This window comes from Homo sapiens, chromosome 9 (assembly GCF_000001405.40).
Source record: "Homo sapiens chromosome 9, GRCh38.p14 Primary Assembly".
Classification (NCBI taxonomy): Eukaryota; Metazoa; Chordata; class Mammalia; order Primates; family Hominidae; genus Homo; species Homo sapiens.
In genome coordinates, this window is record NC_000009.12 from 123,604,422 (window position 1) to 123,621,073 (window position 16,652).

Below are 16,652 nucleotides of genomic sequence, written 5' to 3' on the forward strand. Positions count from 1 at the left end.
TGGATATTATATCACATTTGCCATTTTTATACAGAGCCCCTAGTATAAACATGGTGCCCCGTACACAGAAAGCTCTCAAAACTCTGTTGCAGAAAGGAATGTATATTGTGTCCCCACCACATGCCAGACACTGGGATATGCTGTCCATATACAGGACTCAGCTCTTAGGAAGAAAGCAAGATACAGAAAGATGTAGTATCATGGCTGGAGTTAGCACAGCAGGGAAGTGGTCAAGCAGGGGTTTGGAAGTACATTTGTCAAATTCTACAGAAGTGTCACTCCCAAGCCTGGTACCGTGCCTCTGCATTGCAGACCAGGAGAAAACGAGGCAGGCACAAACCAATTGTGTTGAAACTGTCTTTCCCTAGGACATGAGGATGATGATCCTGGGAACCCAAGAGCTCCTAAAACACAGTTTCAAAGCCATCAGCTTAACAATGGAAACGGCTTGAAGGCCACTAAAGAAGTAAAACCAGCAAGGATTGCTGACCTTTGTTGAGCTCTTTATGTGCAGGAACTGTGCTGGGCATCTGATAGGCATTATCTCACTGGATCCTCCCAGTGATCCCATAAGGGAGACACAGCCATTATCCTCAGTTTACAGGTGAGAAAATAGAGACTCAGAGGTCAATTACCTTGCCCACGATCAAGTAAGCAGGAAGTAGAGGTGTCACATTCTAACTGCTCTACTTCACTGCCCCTGTGTATGGGTGGAACTTCATTTACAAGCCACCGGATCCTCTGTCTGGAACTGTCATTGCTGTCACCTTTCCCTTCTCCTTCCTGACCATCCCACCACCAAGAAGGATAGAAAATACCTTCTGGATGCATCCCTCATGTCACTCTGAGGTCTGTACACAAAGCATTGTTTGTGAGGCTTGAGGAGGAAGGTCTTCATTTATCAAACAGGAGAAGCACCATCGACCAGACATGACCTGGCACCTGCTACCAGAGATGGCACAGAAGAGGGGCTGCATAAATGTCTCTTGAGCTAAATTGAGATCGCTTGAATGAAAGGACAGTCACTGTGGAATCTGGCCGTGTTTTGGGATTTCCTAGCTGCCAGCTAGCATGATCATTCTCTCCAAGAAGAAACTAGGTCTATGCCAATACCCTTGGCTATTCTGCTAACATGCCACTAGCCTCAGATTGCTTAAATGAGAGAGAAACTATAAACAGGCAGAAGGAGAGAGAAGAATGGCGATCAGGTATACACTTGTCACTTTGGGAGGAAGGCGGACTCTGTAAGGTGACTAGGTTATCATTTAATGGCATCCTGTAAGAGCATGAACCAGAATTAGGTCTTTCCCCAAAATAACCTTTTTAAAAATAACAATGCAAGTTTGTAATTTATATTTCTTTTTGTGCAACAAATTTGAGTGTCATAAAAATGGTTAAAAAGTCTTCCTATGGTAGCTTTTTCTAAACTTTTATGAACATCTGCCACATTCATTTGAAGTTTAAAAAATTCTGGCACATATGCAAAGGCATAATAAGGTGCCTATAGCTTTCAAGAAAAAATAACAAGACAGTCAAAAATAAGCCTTTTGCTGAATTGCCAGTAAGAAAACTAGTGTAGCGAGAGGAGATGGGCCTTCCTGAGCACCTTCCGTAAACGGCTTTCCTTTGGCCCCAGGTCTGAGCTACAGGTTCCTGCAAGAAACCGCAGAAGGAGTATCCCTTTCACCTGAAGGGTACAATCGAACTAGATAAGCCCCATCAGAAAGCACAACTAGAGCACTCGGAATCTGAGCTGAAATTCCAGGGAGGAGGTCAGGAGACTGAATTCTAAGATTCAGTAGTTCACGGCTGCCCTACACACTCAGGAAACACTTCTTTGTTCATAAAGTGTCTTGGCTGGTTTCAAGAGTGGGACAACTCCCATTTTTGTTTTTATTTTTGTGCTGACTACACAGGAGTTCAGCACAGCAAACTCCTCCCCAGCCTCCGTCAATCAGCAGGGCTAAGATCTATCTGGGCCAGTGCTTCCTAAGCCTTCTCCCTTAACGCCCTTCAAAGGCTGAGCAGAAGAGACCTGCACCCATTCATGTAAGTGCAAAACTCTGTCTCAAGTTTCAGCTGCAAAATGTACGCATATTTTACACTGCATGTTTTACTACAAAAGGCCTTATTTTAAATTACTTACAATTATATAAAAAGTAAAAAATTCACTTCCCGCACCTGTAAGTAAAATTATGGCATTGGGTTGCCTGAAAACAGTGATGCCTATTAGAGGGCTTCTAAATGTGCTCCCAATTACAGCTTTCCAAGCATTCACTCAACGCTTCTTTTCACAAAGCATTTGCTCAGAGAATATCACCTGTGTGGCATCCTGTTAGGTGCTGAGGACACCACAGTGAATGGGAACAGTCCTTGTTCCCAAAGAAGTCATGCTCCAGGGGATGATGGAGAGGAACAAGGAAGCAAACAGCTATTATTCAGAGCAAGAGGCACCATAAGTGAAAGAAGAAAACAGAGCAGGAGGACTTCTTGGAAGAGGTGGAGAAGGGCAGGGCTGATGCATGCAGAGGGTTGGGAATGTGGATATGTTTAGGGATCAGCAGGAGCACAAGCTAACATGGGTCAGTGACCAGCCAGAAGGCTTGACAGTAGTGGAGAGACTGTGCAGAACCCAGGGACTGTGTAGGGGAGGCTGGAAGGCTCCTCCTCAAGTATTATGTAGCCCATGGTTATCAAGTGACCAGCTGGAGGGCAACCCATGCAATGTTGTGACTATGCACTGAACTTTATATTCATCTCCATACCTCCAGGACCTAGCAAAATGCTTGGAACATAAGAGACCCTCATGTTGTTTATCAAATGAATAAGGCTTTTGCAAGAATCCAAGAAAGCAAAGTGTCAATGAAGGCAGTGAGGAAAGAACAGGGCGAGAGACGTTTTGGAGCTTTGTGAGTATTTAGAGAGGATGAGGAAGAAGAGCATTCAGCCATGATCAGTGTGTTCCACTTAGGTGCCATTGAAGGCAGTAGTGCCATTCACAGGGACCAGGAACAGTGGAAGGGGAGTGGAGTGGCTTAGAGAGAGAGAGAGAGACACAGAGAGAGAGACACACACACACACACACACACACACACACACAGAGAGAGAGAGAGAGAGAGAGAGAGAGTGTGTGTGTGTGTGTGTGTGTGTGTGTGTGTGCAGACAATAAATTGTTTGGGGAAGACTGGGGGAGACATCCGTAGTACATCCAGGTGAAATCCAACTGGCACTTTAAACTTTGGACCTGAAGCTCAGAGAGAGGCAGACCAGCATTAGAACCCCAGCTGAGTCATTGACATTGACCTGGTAGCTGAAGCAAGAGGCCTTAAACAAGGTGACTAGAGGGCACATAGAAAAGAAGAGAAAGACAAAACTAGAAACTTGGAGAATGCTGAGGCGCTGGGACATAAAAAGGAATCTGAAAAAGCCTGTGCTGGAGCAGTCTGGAAGGCAGGAGGAGAGGCAAGCGGGAGGGAACTGTGGACTCCGATAGACCAAATAGTCGTTATATTAGTGTTTCAAACTCTACAGCAATTGGCACTAACGGTCCATTGGTAAGTATTTACTTTGAATTTCAATTTTTCATACGGGAGCTTTGAATAGACCCCCAAACTTGACAAACAAAGGTAAAACACAGAAGAAATCTCTTCAATCTGATCTAAATACATCATCCCAGATAGTCCATAAACTGTGTACTGTATGTGCTTAGGGCTGGGTGATGACAAGGAGGAACTGTTAACAGAATGTAGGAGCCACATGGCCGGCCTGTCAAATTAGAAATTTGAGCAGATTTCTGTGGTCTATTTTGATCAAGATTCTCAATGTCAAACAAACAGGTTTTTCGATAACCAACTTCTTTCATTTTCGTAAGCACAATAGCACAGTGTGCAACAGTTAGTGAAGCAGGTGGTCCTCGTCGACGTGAAATGAAGGGAACAGAAGAAGAGAAGTAGCACTTCCTTCAAGACATGCAAAGCACCACCGCAGACGGACATGGCTGTAGATTTTCCCTCTGAGAGCTTATCTCCTGTGCAACACAGGCAAGCACCCTCCCCACGCCTCATTTTGCTCTAGTACAAATTAAAACTCTCTCCTGAGGAGGAAAGGGCTTAGGGTACATGTCTACAAACTAATGACACTTACAAAAGCACAGAAAAGTCCTTTAAAAGAATTGCTATCTAATTGGTACAGCCATACAGAAAGCAATCTGGCATCCGATGCATAGCTTTGACCAAGCATTTCTACTTTAGGGGTTCTATGCTAGGGAAATGAGGCAAAATGCAGATAAAGCCTTATGCATAAAGATGTTCACTGAAATGCTATTTATAATAGTGAAAAATTATAAACAACCTCAGTGTCCAACAGTAGGAAAACAGTTACGTTGTGGTATATCCAAATAGTGGGAATGATAGGTGGCAAATTAAAAATTATTACTGAGAGTAGATAAAAACATGTAGAGATTCCCAAGCCATGTTAATTAAAATAAAGACACAAAATTATAAAGTATATCAATTATACATATTTATACAAAACATATATTTAGAGACTAAAGACCAAGAGGGAGATTAGTAAAATGCTAACAATGGTTCAATCTGGAATAATGGCATTGTGCATAATTTTAATTTCCTTCTTCATGATTCTATATACATTTTATATCACATTTACTACAATGAAGAATGCAATATTGCTATAGCGATTAGAACAAACATTTTGAAAAGCAAATCATTTCCCTTCCCTCGTTCAAACCCTTAAAGAACCCTTTCCTCCTGCCTCCTTGACTCTCATTCCCTCAACCCATGAAAATCCACAGTCTCTCGGCAAAGTGGGAAAACCCTGAAAACAGAGCCCAGTGCACGGCGTCCAAACCGAACGCTCAGCTCTGTACGCTGGGAGGTGCTGCTTCAGCATGCTCCCACGTGCAGAGCTGTGACTGCTGAGACTGGGTCTCTCCACCGCCACACAATGAAACAAAGCCCCAGGTAGAGCCATCTGGGGAGGAAAGAAGCCAACTTACCTCCATTAAACTTAAATGGATTCCTATGAGGTAGGGCATGGGAGCACTGTGAAGAGAAACAGAGACACACAGCTGCTTTAATGTCTGTTGCTTCTGACAGAAAATTACAGATGGTTCACTATTTGGAGAAAAACTGTTTTAATAAACGTATGCATAGTTACATTTCCTTTCACAACAAAAATCCTAATATGACATTTTGTTCCCAAGCCTAGAAACTTCAGAAGAATTTCAAAACGTGGGCAGCATTGGAAACAGCATGGGTAGCAGGAAGAGCATCAACCTTGATATTAGCCCCTAAAGAGCGGCTCTGCAACTGCACAGCCTCAGTTGCCTTATCTTTAAAATGGAATCCTGGATTCCAGCCAGCACGTTGTTACTAGAATCAAAGAAAATATACGTTAAATGATCAGCAGAGTTCTAATACAGATGGGAACGATTATTGCCATGATTACAACAGAAAAAGCAGTTAAGGTTGGATGAAGGGCATAATGTGTTTCAAAGAAGAATATTTTGTATTTGCTGCTTCCTCTGTCATCAAGAGATGTGATCTAACTGTCCATTCTGATTGGACAAAGTACTTGGAGAGCTGCCAGCAAGCATCTCCTCCCCAGTTGCACACATGCCATCCCATGACACTATAATTCAGAAAGCCTCTGCCAACTGCTTCATTCACGGAGCCACGGGTTGCCTAAGTCAGTGACTGAGCAAAGGCATGAGAACTAAACTCCAATGGGTTTAAAACCTGGGCATTTTGGATACACCGGTCCTGCCGTTGATTTCAGGGGTCGGTGTGTATGTGTGTGTGTGTATACATTATCATTTATGTTACCTACCAATAACAAATGTGCTAGACATTATATGAGGAACTTTAAATTCATCTATTCTAATCCACATAACAACTTTGCAATACCCATAGATACAATACCCATTTTACAGAGAAGGGACTAGGCCTAAAGAGGTTAGTTAAATCACTTACCTAATACCACAAAACAAAGTCAGTGGTAGACCTGGGATTTGATTCCCAAGTATGCATTTCTTCCTTTGTGCCACACTGACTTTGTAATATAGAACCTGAAATCCCCAAGCTCACTCCCCATGCAATGCTTTCCTTTGGGTTAGGGGAAGGAGGTCAAGGGATAGCGAGGAAGGGTGTGATTGGCAACTTTTCCATCTGTCTCTGTAGTATGGGATATAGTCTATGAAATGTGCAGATGGTATTTTGTGAACCTAGAGAAAAGACACCTGACTCAGACTGGGGTGAACAGGTACTTTTCTTCTGGGGCAGCTGGTAGAGTAGAGGTGGATGGACAAGAATGGCTCTTTGGGGACAAAGTTGGAGAAACAAGGAGTGGTAAGTAATGAGACAGGAGAGGTTTGCTTCCAACTGAATACTAAGGAGTTTAGGCTTTATCCTGAAAGCAATGGATAGGCAAGGGAGGTTTCTAAACATCACATGTATATTTTTAAATTGCTCAAACATTTAAAAATAAGAAAGGACACAATTCCCTCATTACCATTCAACAAATAAAATTCAAGCAAAAATCCTTTCTTTCCCCAGAATATAAAATGTCCTCCTTACTACAGATCTCAGCAGTAATATAATATGTCTTGGGAACATGTAAAACAGACTTGAATATTAGCAGCTCAGTTTGCTAACTATTCTAGAAGACTTTTGTATTTGATAATAGCTAAAGAAAGAACTATACACACAATTGCAGTGAAAGTGGAGTTGTCTTTTCTTCTTCTTCTTCTTCTTTTTTTTAGGTATCTGCTGTGTGTATTCAGCTTCTCTTTGCTTCTAGGGGCAAGGAAATGCCCTGTGATATTTTTTTTCCCCTTAAACTGTAAACCATTAGTTTAGCTGCCAGCTACACAAATGCTCAAACTTCCCAGTGTGCCTGGCTCTGCTGTCCAAGCTTTTTCCAGTGTACACTGAAATGAATGTGTTTCTAATTAAGTAGCTTCAGGAACACGACAGCTTCAATGTCAAAAATACAAAGTCTGAACCCTGGCAGGAAGTCTTAAGACTGCAAATGTCTCATCTAGTGGAACCTTGCCTAATGTAATGAAAGGAAGCAGGAAGAGTACAAATTCCAGAAAAATGGCCACTTATTAATGTGACCAGAAGCACAGCCTAACACATAGAAGGGAGAAAGCACAAATCCATAATATTTAACTAAATCTTATCACCCTTCCCATCTCCTACATTTAATCATGCAATTGACCAGTGACCATGGGTTTTAACCAGAATTGTAGAACTGAAATTCCAACAAATGAGTTAATATACAGAAAAAGACATTCAAACGGTTGAAAATAAATATGTATAGCAAAACCCCTCTGTATAACTTAACCATAGGATCTTATGTATGTAGACTTTAATGCTACACCCTTTTGTCCTACAATAAAAATCAATGATACCCTGAAAGGAAAAAGGGACCTCATGGAAGAGACTGAAGAGGCAAGAAAGGGCAAAATGGAACTCATTCTTCAAGTATCTTTAGATAGGCATTTTTTAAAGCCCAATAATTATCCAAAGAGTAATTATGGCCTATCGCAGAAATGTAGTTTTCTTAGCCAAGTATTGTTAGAACTGCAACAGCTCTGTATTTAGAAAATATTTAAAACACATTTATTCTGAAATCATAGCAGCTCCATGTTTTGTATGAATGCAAATTTGGACAAATACCTTTTACATTGTCATCATTTACGTATCAAGCCTCAGATACTTCCCTGAATCTACTGCATGTTTGCTCTGCAAATATATAATTACGAATTCCAAGTGGTGAGAGGGAGAGGGAAGAAAAAGAAACCCAGAATTTCCTGAACATCTCAATGTGGTACTTATCCAATTGGGTAATTCTAGGTACAGTCTGAAAACAATTTCTATTCTCACTGTATCTCAATAATTATTGTAGCTACTGACTCAGTTTCTTGGAACCTCTTCTTTGTCTTTTTATTTTTAAAAGAAATGTTTGGGGAGAAAAACACCTACCCATGATTATATTATCCTAACACAATTACTTTTTCTTTTGCATTCCTTTCTAATACTGGCTCACATTAACAGCTTTATATCTTTGAAATTATAAAGTGCATACATTGTTTTATTTTCTCATTGGCTACATGAACATTTCCCAGATTGTTCTATAATTTTTGTGATTATTAAAGACTGCATAATATTCCACCAAATATGGATGTATCATAATTTATCGAATGCTATCCCTAGAGTAGACATTAAGTTGCTTCCAATTTTCTATAAGTATCACTGTGATAAAAATGAACACCTTCATGTTGCATGAATTCCTAGACACCGAATTACTAAAAATTAAAGGACAGGGCTGTTTCTTATCTTTTGTTATATCCTAGCAAAGCATTCTCCAATAAGGCAGTACCTGGCCTAGTAGAAATCTTTCAGGATTGTTGTAGAGATTAGAGACAACCTCTGACGTACCTGGCACAGCAGCAGCACATGGTAGGGTTTTCTCTGAGCCCCTGGCATGGCTGGCACCATTGGACCCACTCTCCTATTACCCACAGAATGGTTTCTTGTTCCAGCCCTGGTTCTGTAGCATACCCGCTCTAGGATACCTGGTAAACTGCTGGTAAGAATGGTCAAGATGCCATGAGGAATGGGAGGTGCTTGACAGGCACACACCATCTCTACACATGGATTTCTGACTCCCAAGCACACTCTTGTCTCCCGGATACTCCACTGAGTTCAGGAGGGTTGCTCATCACTCTCGTCAGGAGGGTGCCTTTCCTTTCTAATGTACCACCAATAACGGAAAAACTATCAATGAAACAATGGTTCATGACTTTCTGATCACTTGGACACATTTTTAAAAACCTCTTATCACTCTTGAGCATACATTAAAAATAAAACAGCAAAATAAATTGGGTAAGCTATTTAAAAAAAAAAAACTTCTTCATATTCAGAATCCAACACATCTGAATCCTTTTCTAATTCAGAGGCATAAACGTCCATGTTTTTCCAAGGGTATCTCAGTTACAAAACCAAACCAAAATCCATCTACTAGAAGTGATCTTCCTGTTTAGGTTCAAGAAAGAACTTATTTGTTGCTGTTCTAGAAAACATGAATGGAAATATCTGCTTCAGTAATAGCAAATGTATATACTCTGCTTCTCTTCTCCAGAGCCTTTTAGCATTCACAGTGACTTTACCTTTCAATATTGAATCATAGTGCAATTTTGAAGACATTTTAAACGGCAATTAAACAACATGTGCAGAACCAACAATGCACATAATTAAATTAAAGTGGTGATAATATTAACAGTTATAACCAAACTTATGCATAGGCAGGTCATGACAACCATGTCACAACTGCTGTATGACTGACAGTGATTGTAGGATGCTATTGTACATCCTGGAATAGCAGAATGGGGTATATCTGTATGAAGCTTTTGTTCTCTGGGAATTACTGCACTATCTGATTTCATCAGTTACAAACGTGAGAGTAAAAGTGACTCTTTTTTCCTTCTCCCCTGAAAAGGAAAAGGGCTCTGTTGCTGGTGTTGAGGCAGACACAACAGAATAACCTTTACCTGGAAGATATCTTTAGTTTGAATCCTCTTAAGAGGAAAAGGAACTTTTATTGAGCTACTATAATTCAGTCACCTTTATGCATTACACACATAATGCTCAAGGGAACTCTGCAAGGTGGTGCGATCATCCATATTTTCAGGTTAGGAAACACGCTCAGAAAGATAAAATTTGCCAAGATCGCACAGCTGGTCAGTGGTGAAGCCGTACTTCAGACGCAAGGCTGCTGAACAGACAGCCCAAGCTCTGCACATGAGGTCACACAGCACATACTCAGTACTTAAGCTGAAAGGAAAAGAGCGCTGGGGTACCAAAAGGGCTATTCGCCAGTCCTCTTGGTTCCAGGCCTGTGATGCTGAGCGCTTCTCTGACAGGTAAGTCCTATGGCATGAGCTTATTCCCAGCAAGGAAGAAGCAAGAATATGGAAACTGCAGACTTACTAACGATCCTGTAGTCCTTGTTCATTATTACCGCACTTTCACAATTTGTTTAATTCCTTTCCCCCAGATAACCAGGGCTCTGTTAATCATGTTCCCCTGAGGTGAGCAGCTACTAATTGGAAATGAGTCCAGTGAAATAAAGGAACACTGGCTGCTTAAAAAAAAAAAAAATACAGCTTCCCAAGACAAAGTGGGAGGGGAGAGGAAACAAGGGAGAGGCGGTCCCTCCACCTCCAGGTGGGCAACACCTCTGCTATCATGAAGGAACACAGCTTAGGGCAGCCCAGGGATTTGGAAAGATCACTGTTTACACATAGGTATCCACGTTACAATATACACATCACAGTGTCACCTTACCTCTCAGAGGGCCACCACCTTCTTAATTAAATACCCTGATCAGGCAAAGGGGATCCCACAGTCAGAAAGAAAAACTCTGAAGGAGGTCTTATGTGAGCTTTTCTTTCTTTTTTTGTAAAAGACACAAACGTGTAAACACAGATTGTCTTGTGGTTTTAAATTCTGCTCGAAATAATGAGCCTGGCTTTATTAGAGAGGTTAAAGGACAAGAGAACGGGAAAAAGAAAAAGAACAGACACCAGAGAACATATCTTGCTGGAGAATGCGAATGATCATGGTTTTGGGCTTAGTGAGAGCGATGAGACAGCTGCTCTTCAGGCTAATGTAACTGCCAGTGTAGGAGAGGAAGCCAGTAAGAGCAGCCACCACTGACTGCAAATTTGCCAAGAGCCAGCATAGGCTAAGGCATTTTCCTCATTAGATTCTCACCATAGCAGCATAAGGAGGGTGCTATCAGAACTACCATTTCACAGATGGAAAAACTAAGATTGGAAAAGCTAAATCATTCATCTGACGTCACACAGCTAGTAAGTGGCAGAACTGGGACTAGAACCCAAGCCCATGATACGGGGATCAAGCAAGCTTCTTATTTCCTGGAGACCAGCATTCCCACAGCCTGCAGAGGAAGGAGGTTAGGTGGTTTTCTCTAACCTGCTCCCTAAGGGCTGGCCTGCAGCTGTGACAAGACCTAGGAGCTTCTACATTCTGTCTGAGCTCCTCCTCCCCTGCTACCTTTTCCATCACAGGAAGCTTCTGGTCCCTGAAGTGCCTCTGAGCTCATCTCAGTCACATGGTGGCCCCACAGGCCTCAGCTTCACTATTTCTTCAAGTCCTACTGAAGCCATGCTGCCTGCCTCTCAGATTGCCCAGTGGTGGCTAACACCTCTCTTGGTAGGGGCTTTTGTCCGGGTTACCCATTTGGCATAAAGCATGTGCTGATTTGAAGGGTGACTCTAGATTGTCAGTCACAAAAGCACAGAATCCTGTTTCCCAGAGCCTCCCATGGTGCCATGTGCAGAGCAGGAAGGGTAAAACAGTCGAGCTATTTACTGAGCACACACCACATTTCAAGGGCTGCATGGGAGGCTCCAGCCACCTTATCTCATTTAATCCTCAAATAATCCAATTTACACCATCCATTTTATAGCTTTTTTTTGAGACAGAGTCTTGCTCTGTTGCCCAGGCTAGAGTGCAGTGGTGCGATCTTGGCCCACTGCAACCTCTGTCTCCTGGGTTCAAGTGATTCTCCTGCCTCAGTCCCTCGAGTTGCTAGGATTACAGGTGCGTACTACCACGCCTGGCTGGTTTTTGTATTTTTAGTGGAGACAGGGTTTCACCATGTTGCCCAGCTTGGTCTCGAACTCCTGACCTCAGGTGATCCACCTGCCTCGGCCTTCCAAAGTACTGGGATTATGGGCGTGAGCCACTGTGCCTGGCCATTTTATAGACTTAAAAAGGTATTCTCAAAAACGTGCCTATGGGATCACCCAGTTAATGGTGATCCCAGCCCAAATCCTTCTACTTCCAAGTCTCTTACGCTACTCTTACTTGCTAGTGACTTCTCTTAACCATTATGCTACTGTCGACAAAAAATGGTTACTGGATAATTATAGCTAAAAAAGTAAAATAGCTAGTGGGTTCATAGTCAGAATAAAACTATATTTGCCTTACTAGCTGGAATTGACTGATACTCTTTTCTGTTCTAAGCGGGATTTAAGGCAATTTATATGAATATTTGCAACATAGCAACAAAAGTATGAAAAGAAATAGGAGCTAAGGGGAAAAAAAAAGGAAGCTGTGGCAAGGTTAGTGTTTCTATTTCATGCTGGGACACCTGCTGGGATGGTCACAGGTTTGGCTCTGAGCACTCTGGCCACCAACCCAAAAGGGAAACAAGACTGTGAGGTGTTTTGTGGTGTCCACAGGAGAAAAATAAACCAGCCACCCAGGAGCTTGAATTTTCAAAAGGCTCCTGGGGAGGGAAAAGTGTTTTCCACAGGCCGGTTAGTCAGTCAGTCAACAGGTATCACTAATATCAGGCACCATGCTGGCCTGGGGCAAGAGGATAGAATAGATCTGGTCCCCATGTGAAGCTCACAGTTAATGGCAGATCAAATAAGCGCATTATTGCATATGCGCAAACCGCTACAAGGAGACGCACAGGGTGTTGTCGGGTACACAACGGAAGGGCCTGAGATGACCTCATTTCATCTCTGCAGCAATCTTGAAAGGTGGGTCCCCATAATTCACAGAGGAACCCATGGCTCAAAGAGGTTAAGTGACTCGACAAAGGTCACAGCTGGTGAGAAGTAGAAAGTATGGGGTAACTGCCATGAGGTAGGCAAGCTTTTTTCTTTTTAGGGGAAAAAGTATTTAATGTCTTTCCTGGTTTCCAACCCAGCCCTCTCCGATTTATGAGCAACAACAGAGGATGACGATCCATGAGGAGACCAGGAATAATTCTAGATTAGGGGAGAAGGCAGAGATGGCCTAGTTTCCATTTGTGGTTTCGACAGCAAGAGCACGGGGCCCTGCCACAGCAGAGGTGAGCTCAGCGTGCACTGATGTCCAGTGGGCACTGGAGATGGTTTGCTAATGCAAGACACGTGTATCACTGGAGCTGATCAGTGACTGGGAAAGGGAGGACAATGCCCTTCTGAGTGTGGCTTTGTGGCTTCCTGGGGTAACCTATGCAGGTGGGGGTGGTGGAGATGCCTTCTAGAGCCCCAAGCCACTGGACCCAACAGAAATGAACACATGAGTTACAAAGATAACACCTGGACAAAATTCTGGAGAGGTCAACATCAAAGCCTGGGGTAGCCCGCCCTTTTGAGCCTCCTTGGCCTACCGGAAGGCGACAGACTCGGAAAACATCAGGAAGGGCTCCGTGGCTAAGACCACTGCGGCAGGAGAAGTTAATCACAGAGCAAAGGTCAGGAGACAGGGCTCTCTGCTGCCACAGAGAATTCAATGAGAACCGTAATAGCTAAAGCCAGACACGGAAAGGAAGTCTCAAGTTGTGAGCCACAAGCAGCCCATGAGAGCCTGTGGAAACACATGAATGAATGAGCCACAAAATAAATAAGAGAAAAAGAGAAAGAGGCTTATGGAGAAATAAATGAAGAGAAAGTAACAGAAAAAAAGGATAAAAAAATAGCGCAACTGATAATAAAAGGAGATTTTCTCTTGCTGTTTTTCCAGGACTCATCCCATGTGCCAAGATGCATAGCATCCAATTACCTTTGCAGCCTCGCCTTTCCATTCATCACGTTTTAAAGGGAAGACGAACCCGCACTTGCTGAGAGGTCACTCAGAGCCTATCACTATGCTGGTGCTGCACATACTGTCCCTGGTGCCAGCACCTGAAAAAGGCAGGCACACTATCTCCAGAAGCCCTGCCATGAGGTCACTTGCTGCACTGCTGAAACTTCCTGTGACCCTGATGTTACTTGGTCTGTGGCCTCTGCCTTATGGGTGAACTATGGCTCCCAGGAACATATCTAGAGTGTCGTTGCTATAGAGCCCCCTATACTGTGCCCCAGAATGTCCAGAGTTTTCTAAGTGTTGGGTTCAAGCCAGGCTCCAAATCAGGGAGGAATGAGGAATGTGTCACTCACGTACAGAATGTGTCATGAGAAATGGAAAACCAGGCCAATGCTCAGGCAGGTAGGCAGGAGTCGGGGCCAGCAACGTTGCATGGAGGCCAGCAGAAACTAGGGCAGGGGAGGCGGGCTGTTGCCCCTCCCGACATTAGGCAGAAGGAGGGGGCTGGGGAAGGTGGGAGCGGCAGGGCAGGTCCAGAGGCTCAGAGGCAGATACAGTAGCCAGGAGGTGGTTAGGCTGTGGTCCAGACAGCTCCCCAAAGGGTGGGTGGCTGAGCCAACAAGCACCATTCCCCTATGTGGGAAGGTCACTCCTGTGTTAAAGGGACACCTTGTCTTCTTTAACCCTGAAAGTCTCAGTAACGCTGGGAGTGACACTGCTGAGGCCAGTGAGAGCTGTCCCGCTATACTCCTGACATCGGTGCCTTCCGGGGTGCCTCTAGAGGGACAGGGCTAAAGGCTGAATGGCAACCATCTACACAGACTAACCCATTTTTATAGACCTTTCGCTTTTTGCTATATGTACTTTAAAAGGCTAAAAAAGTTTTTTATTTCTTCTTATTATTATTTTTGAGACAGAGTCTCGTTCTGTCACCCAGGCTGGAGTGCAGTGACGCGATCTCAGCTCACTGCAACCTCCACCTCTCAGGTTCAAGTGATTCTCCTGCCTCAGCCTCAGAGTAGCTGGGATTACAGGCACACGCCACCACGCCCAGCTAATTTTTGCATTTTTAGTAGAGACGGGGTCTCACCATGTTAGCCAAGCTGGTCTTGAACTCCTGATCTCAGGTGATCCACCCACCTGGGCCTCCCAAAGCGCTGGGATTACAGGCATGAGCCACCGCACCCAGCCTAAAAAAGTTTTTTATAATAAGAATGTATTACTTTACTAACAATATAGACTGTATTAAAAATCTAATGTGTCTGGAATTAGTGGTGGTGATATATCTATTAGATGGATAGTGGATTAGATAGTTGGAATAGACTACAAACCACTGATCTGTATACATACATTGATTGACTGATTGATTGATTGATTGATTGAGACAGAGTCTCACTCTCCTTGACCAGGTTGGAGTGCAATGGCGTGATCACAGCTCGTTGCAGCCTCAACTCTCCACGTTCAGGTGATTCTTCTACTTCAGCCTCACAGAGAGCTGGGACTACGGGTACACACCATCACACCTGGCTAATTTTTGTATTTGTTTTACAGGGACATGATTTTGCCATGTTGCCCAGGATTGGTCTCGAACTCCTAGGCTCAAGCAATCTGCCCACCTCCCAAAGTGCTGGCATTACAGGTGTGAGCCACTGCAGTTCGGGCCAGAACTGTATACTTTTAAAAGGGTGAATTTTGTGGTATGTGGATTAAATTTCAACTTAAAAAATGTAGCAGAGAAATTGAAAAGACAGTTTTCCTATAGAGTCTTCAGTATAGAGATCAGCACAGAATCTGTAACATAGATAATACAAAGGGCCCAGTCTCTTCTTTACCTAATTTTTCCACCTGGAAAACAGTTCACATTGAAATTGTCCAGTCTGGGCATGGTGGCTTACACCTGTAATCACAGCACTTTGGGAGGCCAAGGTGGGCGGATCATTTGAGGTCAGGAGTTTGAGACCAGCCTGACCAACATAGTGAAACCCCTTCTCTACTAAAAATACAAAAAATTAGCTGGGTGTGGTGGCGCATATCTGTAATCTCAGCTACTTGGGAGGCTGAGGCAGAAGAATTGCTTGAACCCAGGAGGCGAAGGTTGCAGTGAGCTGAGATCGCACCACTGCACTCCAGCCTGGGTGAGAGAGTAAGACTCCATCTCAAAAAAAAAAAAAAAAAAAAAAAAAGAAAAGAAAAAGAAAAAAAGGAAAAAAGAAATCATCCAAAGCTTCCCTACAAGGCTCTTGGCACATTCAGTCTTGGGTGCTGCTCAAGGAAATGAAGGTGCATCTCAGTGTAGGGCTCAGTGACTGTTATCACCTCAAAACATTTTTCCAGCTGCCTACTTGGTGCCAGGCTCCTCATGTACAGCAATGTTTTTAGCTATCTCCCTGGCAATGACTTAGCAAAAGACACTGAGGCTCAGGCAGGAGATGTGACTCACTCAAAGTCACATCTTTAGTAGGACCAGAGTCTAGGATTTGGACCCAAGACTTTGACTTCCAAATCTGAACTGTTTTCTCTCACTTGGCCTCTCTGTTCAAGCCTCAGGGTCAAGTTTAGCCAAATCTCAGTTGAGGAATTACCTAACTAGTAATCTATGATTTCTGATCATTAAATCAACACACATTTGTGTATGTGTGTGTGCATTTCCTAATCATCAGTCCCACCACAGCCCAGCTTCCCTTCCTCTTCTGTCTGAAACTAAATTCCTGGTCCTTATCCCCTCCCACCCCTCCCAGATGAGCTCTGTCACAGTGGCACCATTCCACTCTTGGCGTCTTGCTGCTTCTTAGCTTAAAAAAAAATATCTCTATTCTCCATATCTTGACTGGATGCTTGAGTTCGTTGGTGAAGTAGTGTTTCCTCAGATCCAGAACCATCTATGTCCACCTATCTTCCTATGCCCACTGCCAGGAATATAGTAAGTATTCATAAGCACTTGCTGCAAAATGGCAATGACATACAACTTTTGCTTACTTACTGGAACCCAATCTTTAACAAAAGCTAGAAAGCCCAGAG

At 43.3% G+C, this 16,652-nt stretch overlaps 1 protein-coding gene across 42 annotated transcripts in view, besides 2 other annotated features; it reads right to left on the reverse strand.

The window, feature by feature from the left end:
• Nucleotides 1–16,652, reverse strand: part of DENND1A (DENN domain containing 1A) — a 550,469-nt gene that overhangs the window by 224,764 nt on the left and 309,053 nt on the right. For all 42 annotated transcript variants that reach the window (XR_007061334.1, XR_007061335.1, NR_148208.2 and 39 more), the window contains one exon: nt 5,015–5,060. Coding sequence is in view for 39 of the 42 variants with exons in the window: in NM_001352965.2 (NP_001339894.1) it covers nt 5,015–5,060 (46 nt within the window). In the remaining 3 variants the exon portion in view is untranslated. The remainder of the gene's footprint in view (nt 1–5,014; nt 5,061–16,652) is intronic.
• Nucleotides 3,849–3,978: an enhancer, noted in NCBI's record as "active region_28943". NCBI's record gives its function as "activates an Ori minimal core promoter by ATAC-STARR-seq in GM12878 lymphoblastoid cells {active_cell/tissue: GM12878}" and the evidence as "EXISTENCE:reporter gene assay evidence [ECO:0000049][PMID:35858748]".
• Nucleotides 4,039–4,088: an enhancer, noted in NCBI's record as "active region_28944". NCBI's record gives its function as "activates an Ori minimal core promoter by ATAC-STARR-seq in GM12878 lymphoblastoid cells {active_cell/tissue: GM12878}" and the evidence as "EXISTENCE:reporter gene assay evidence [ECO:0000049][PMID:35858748]".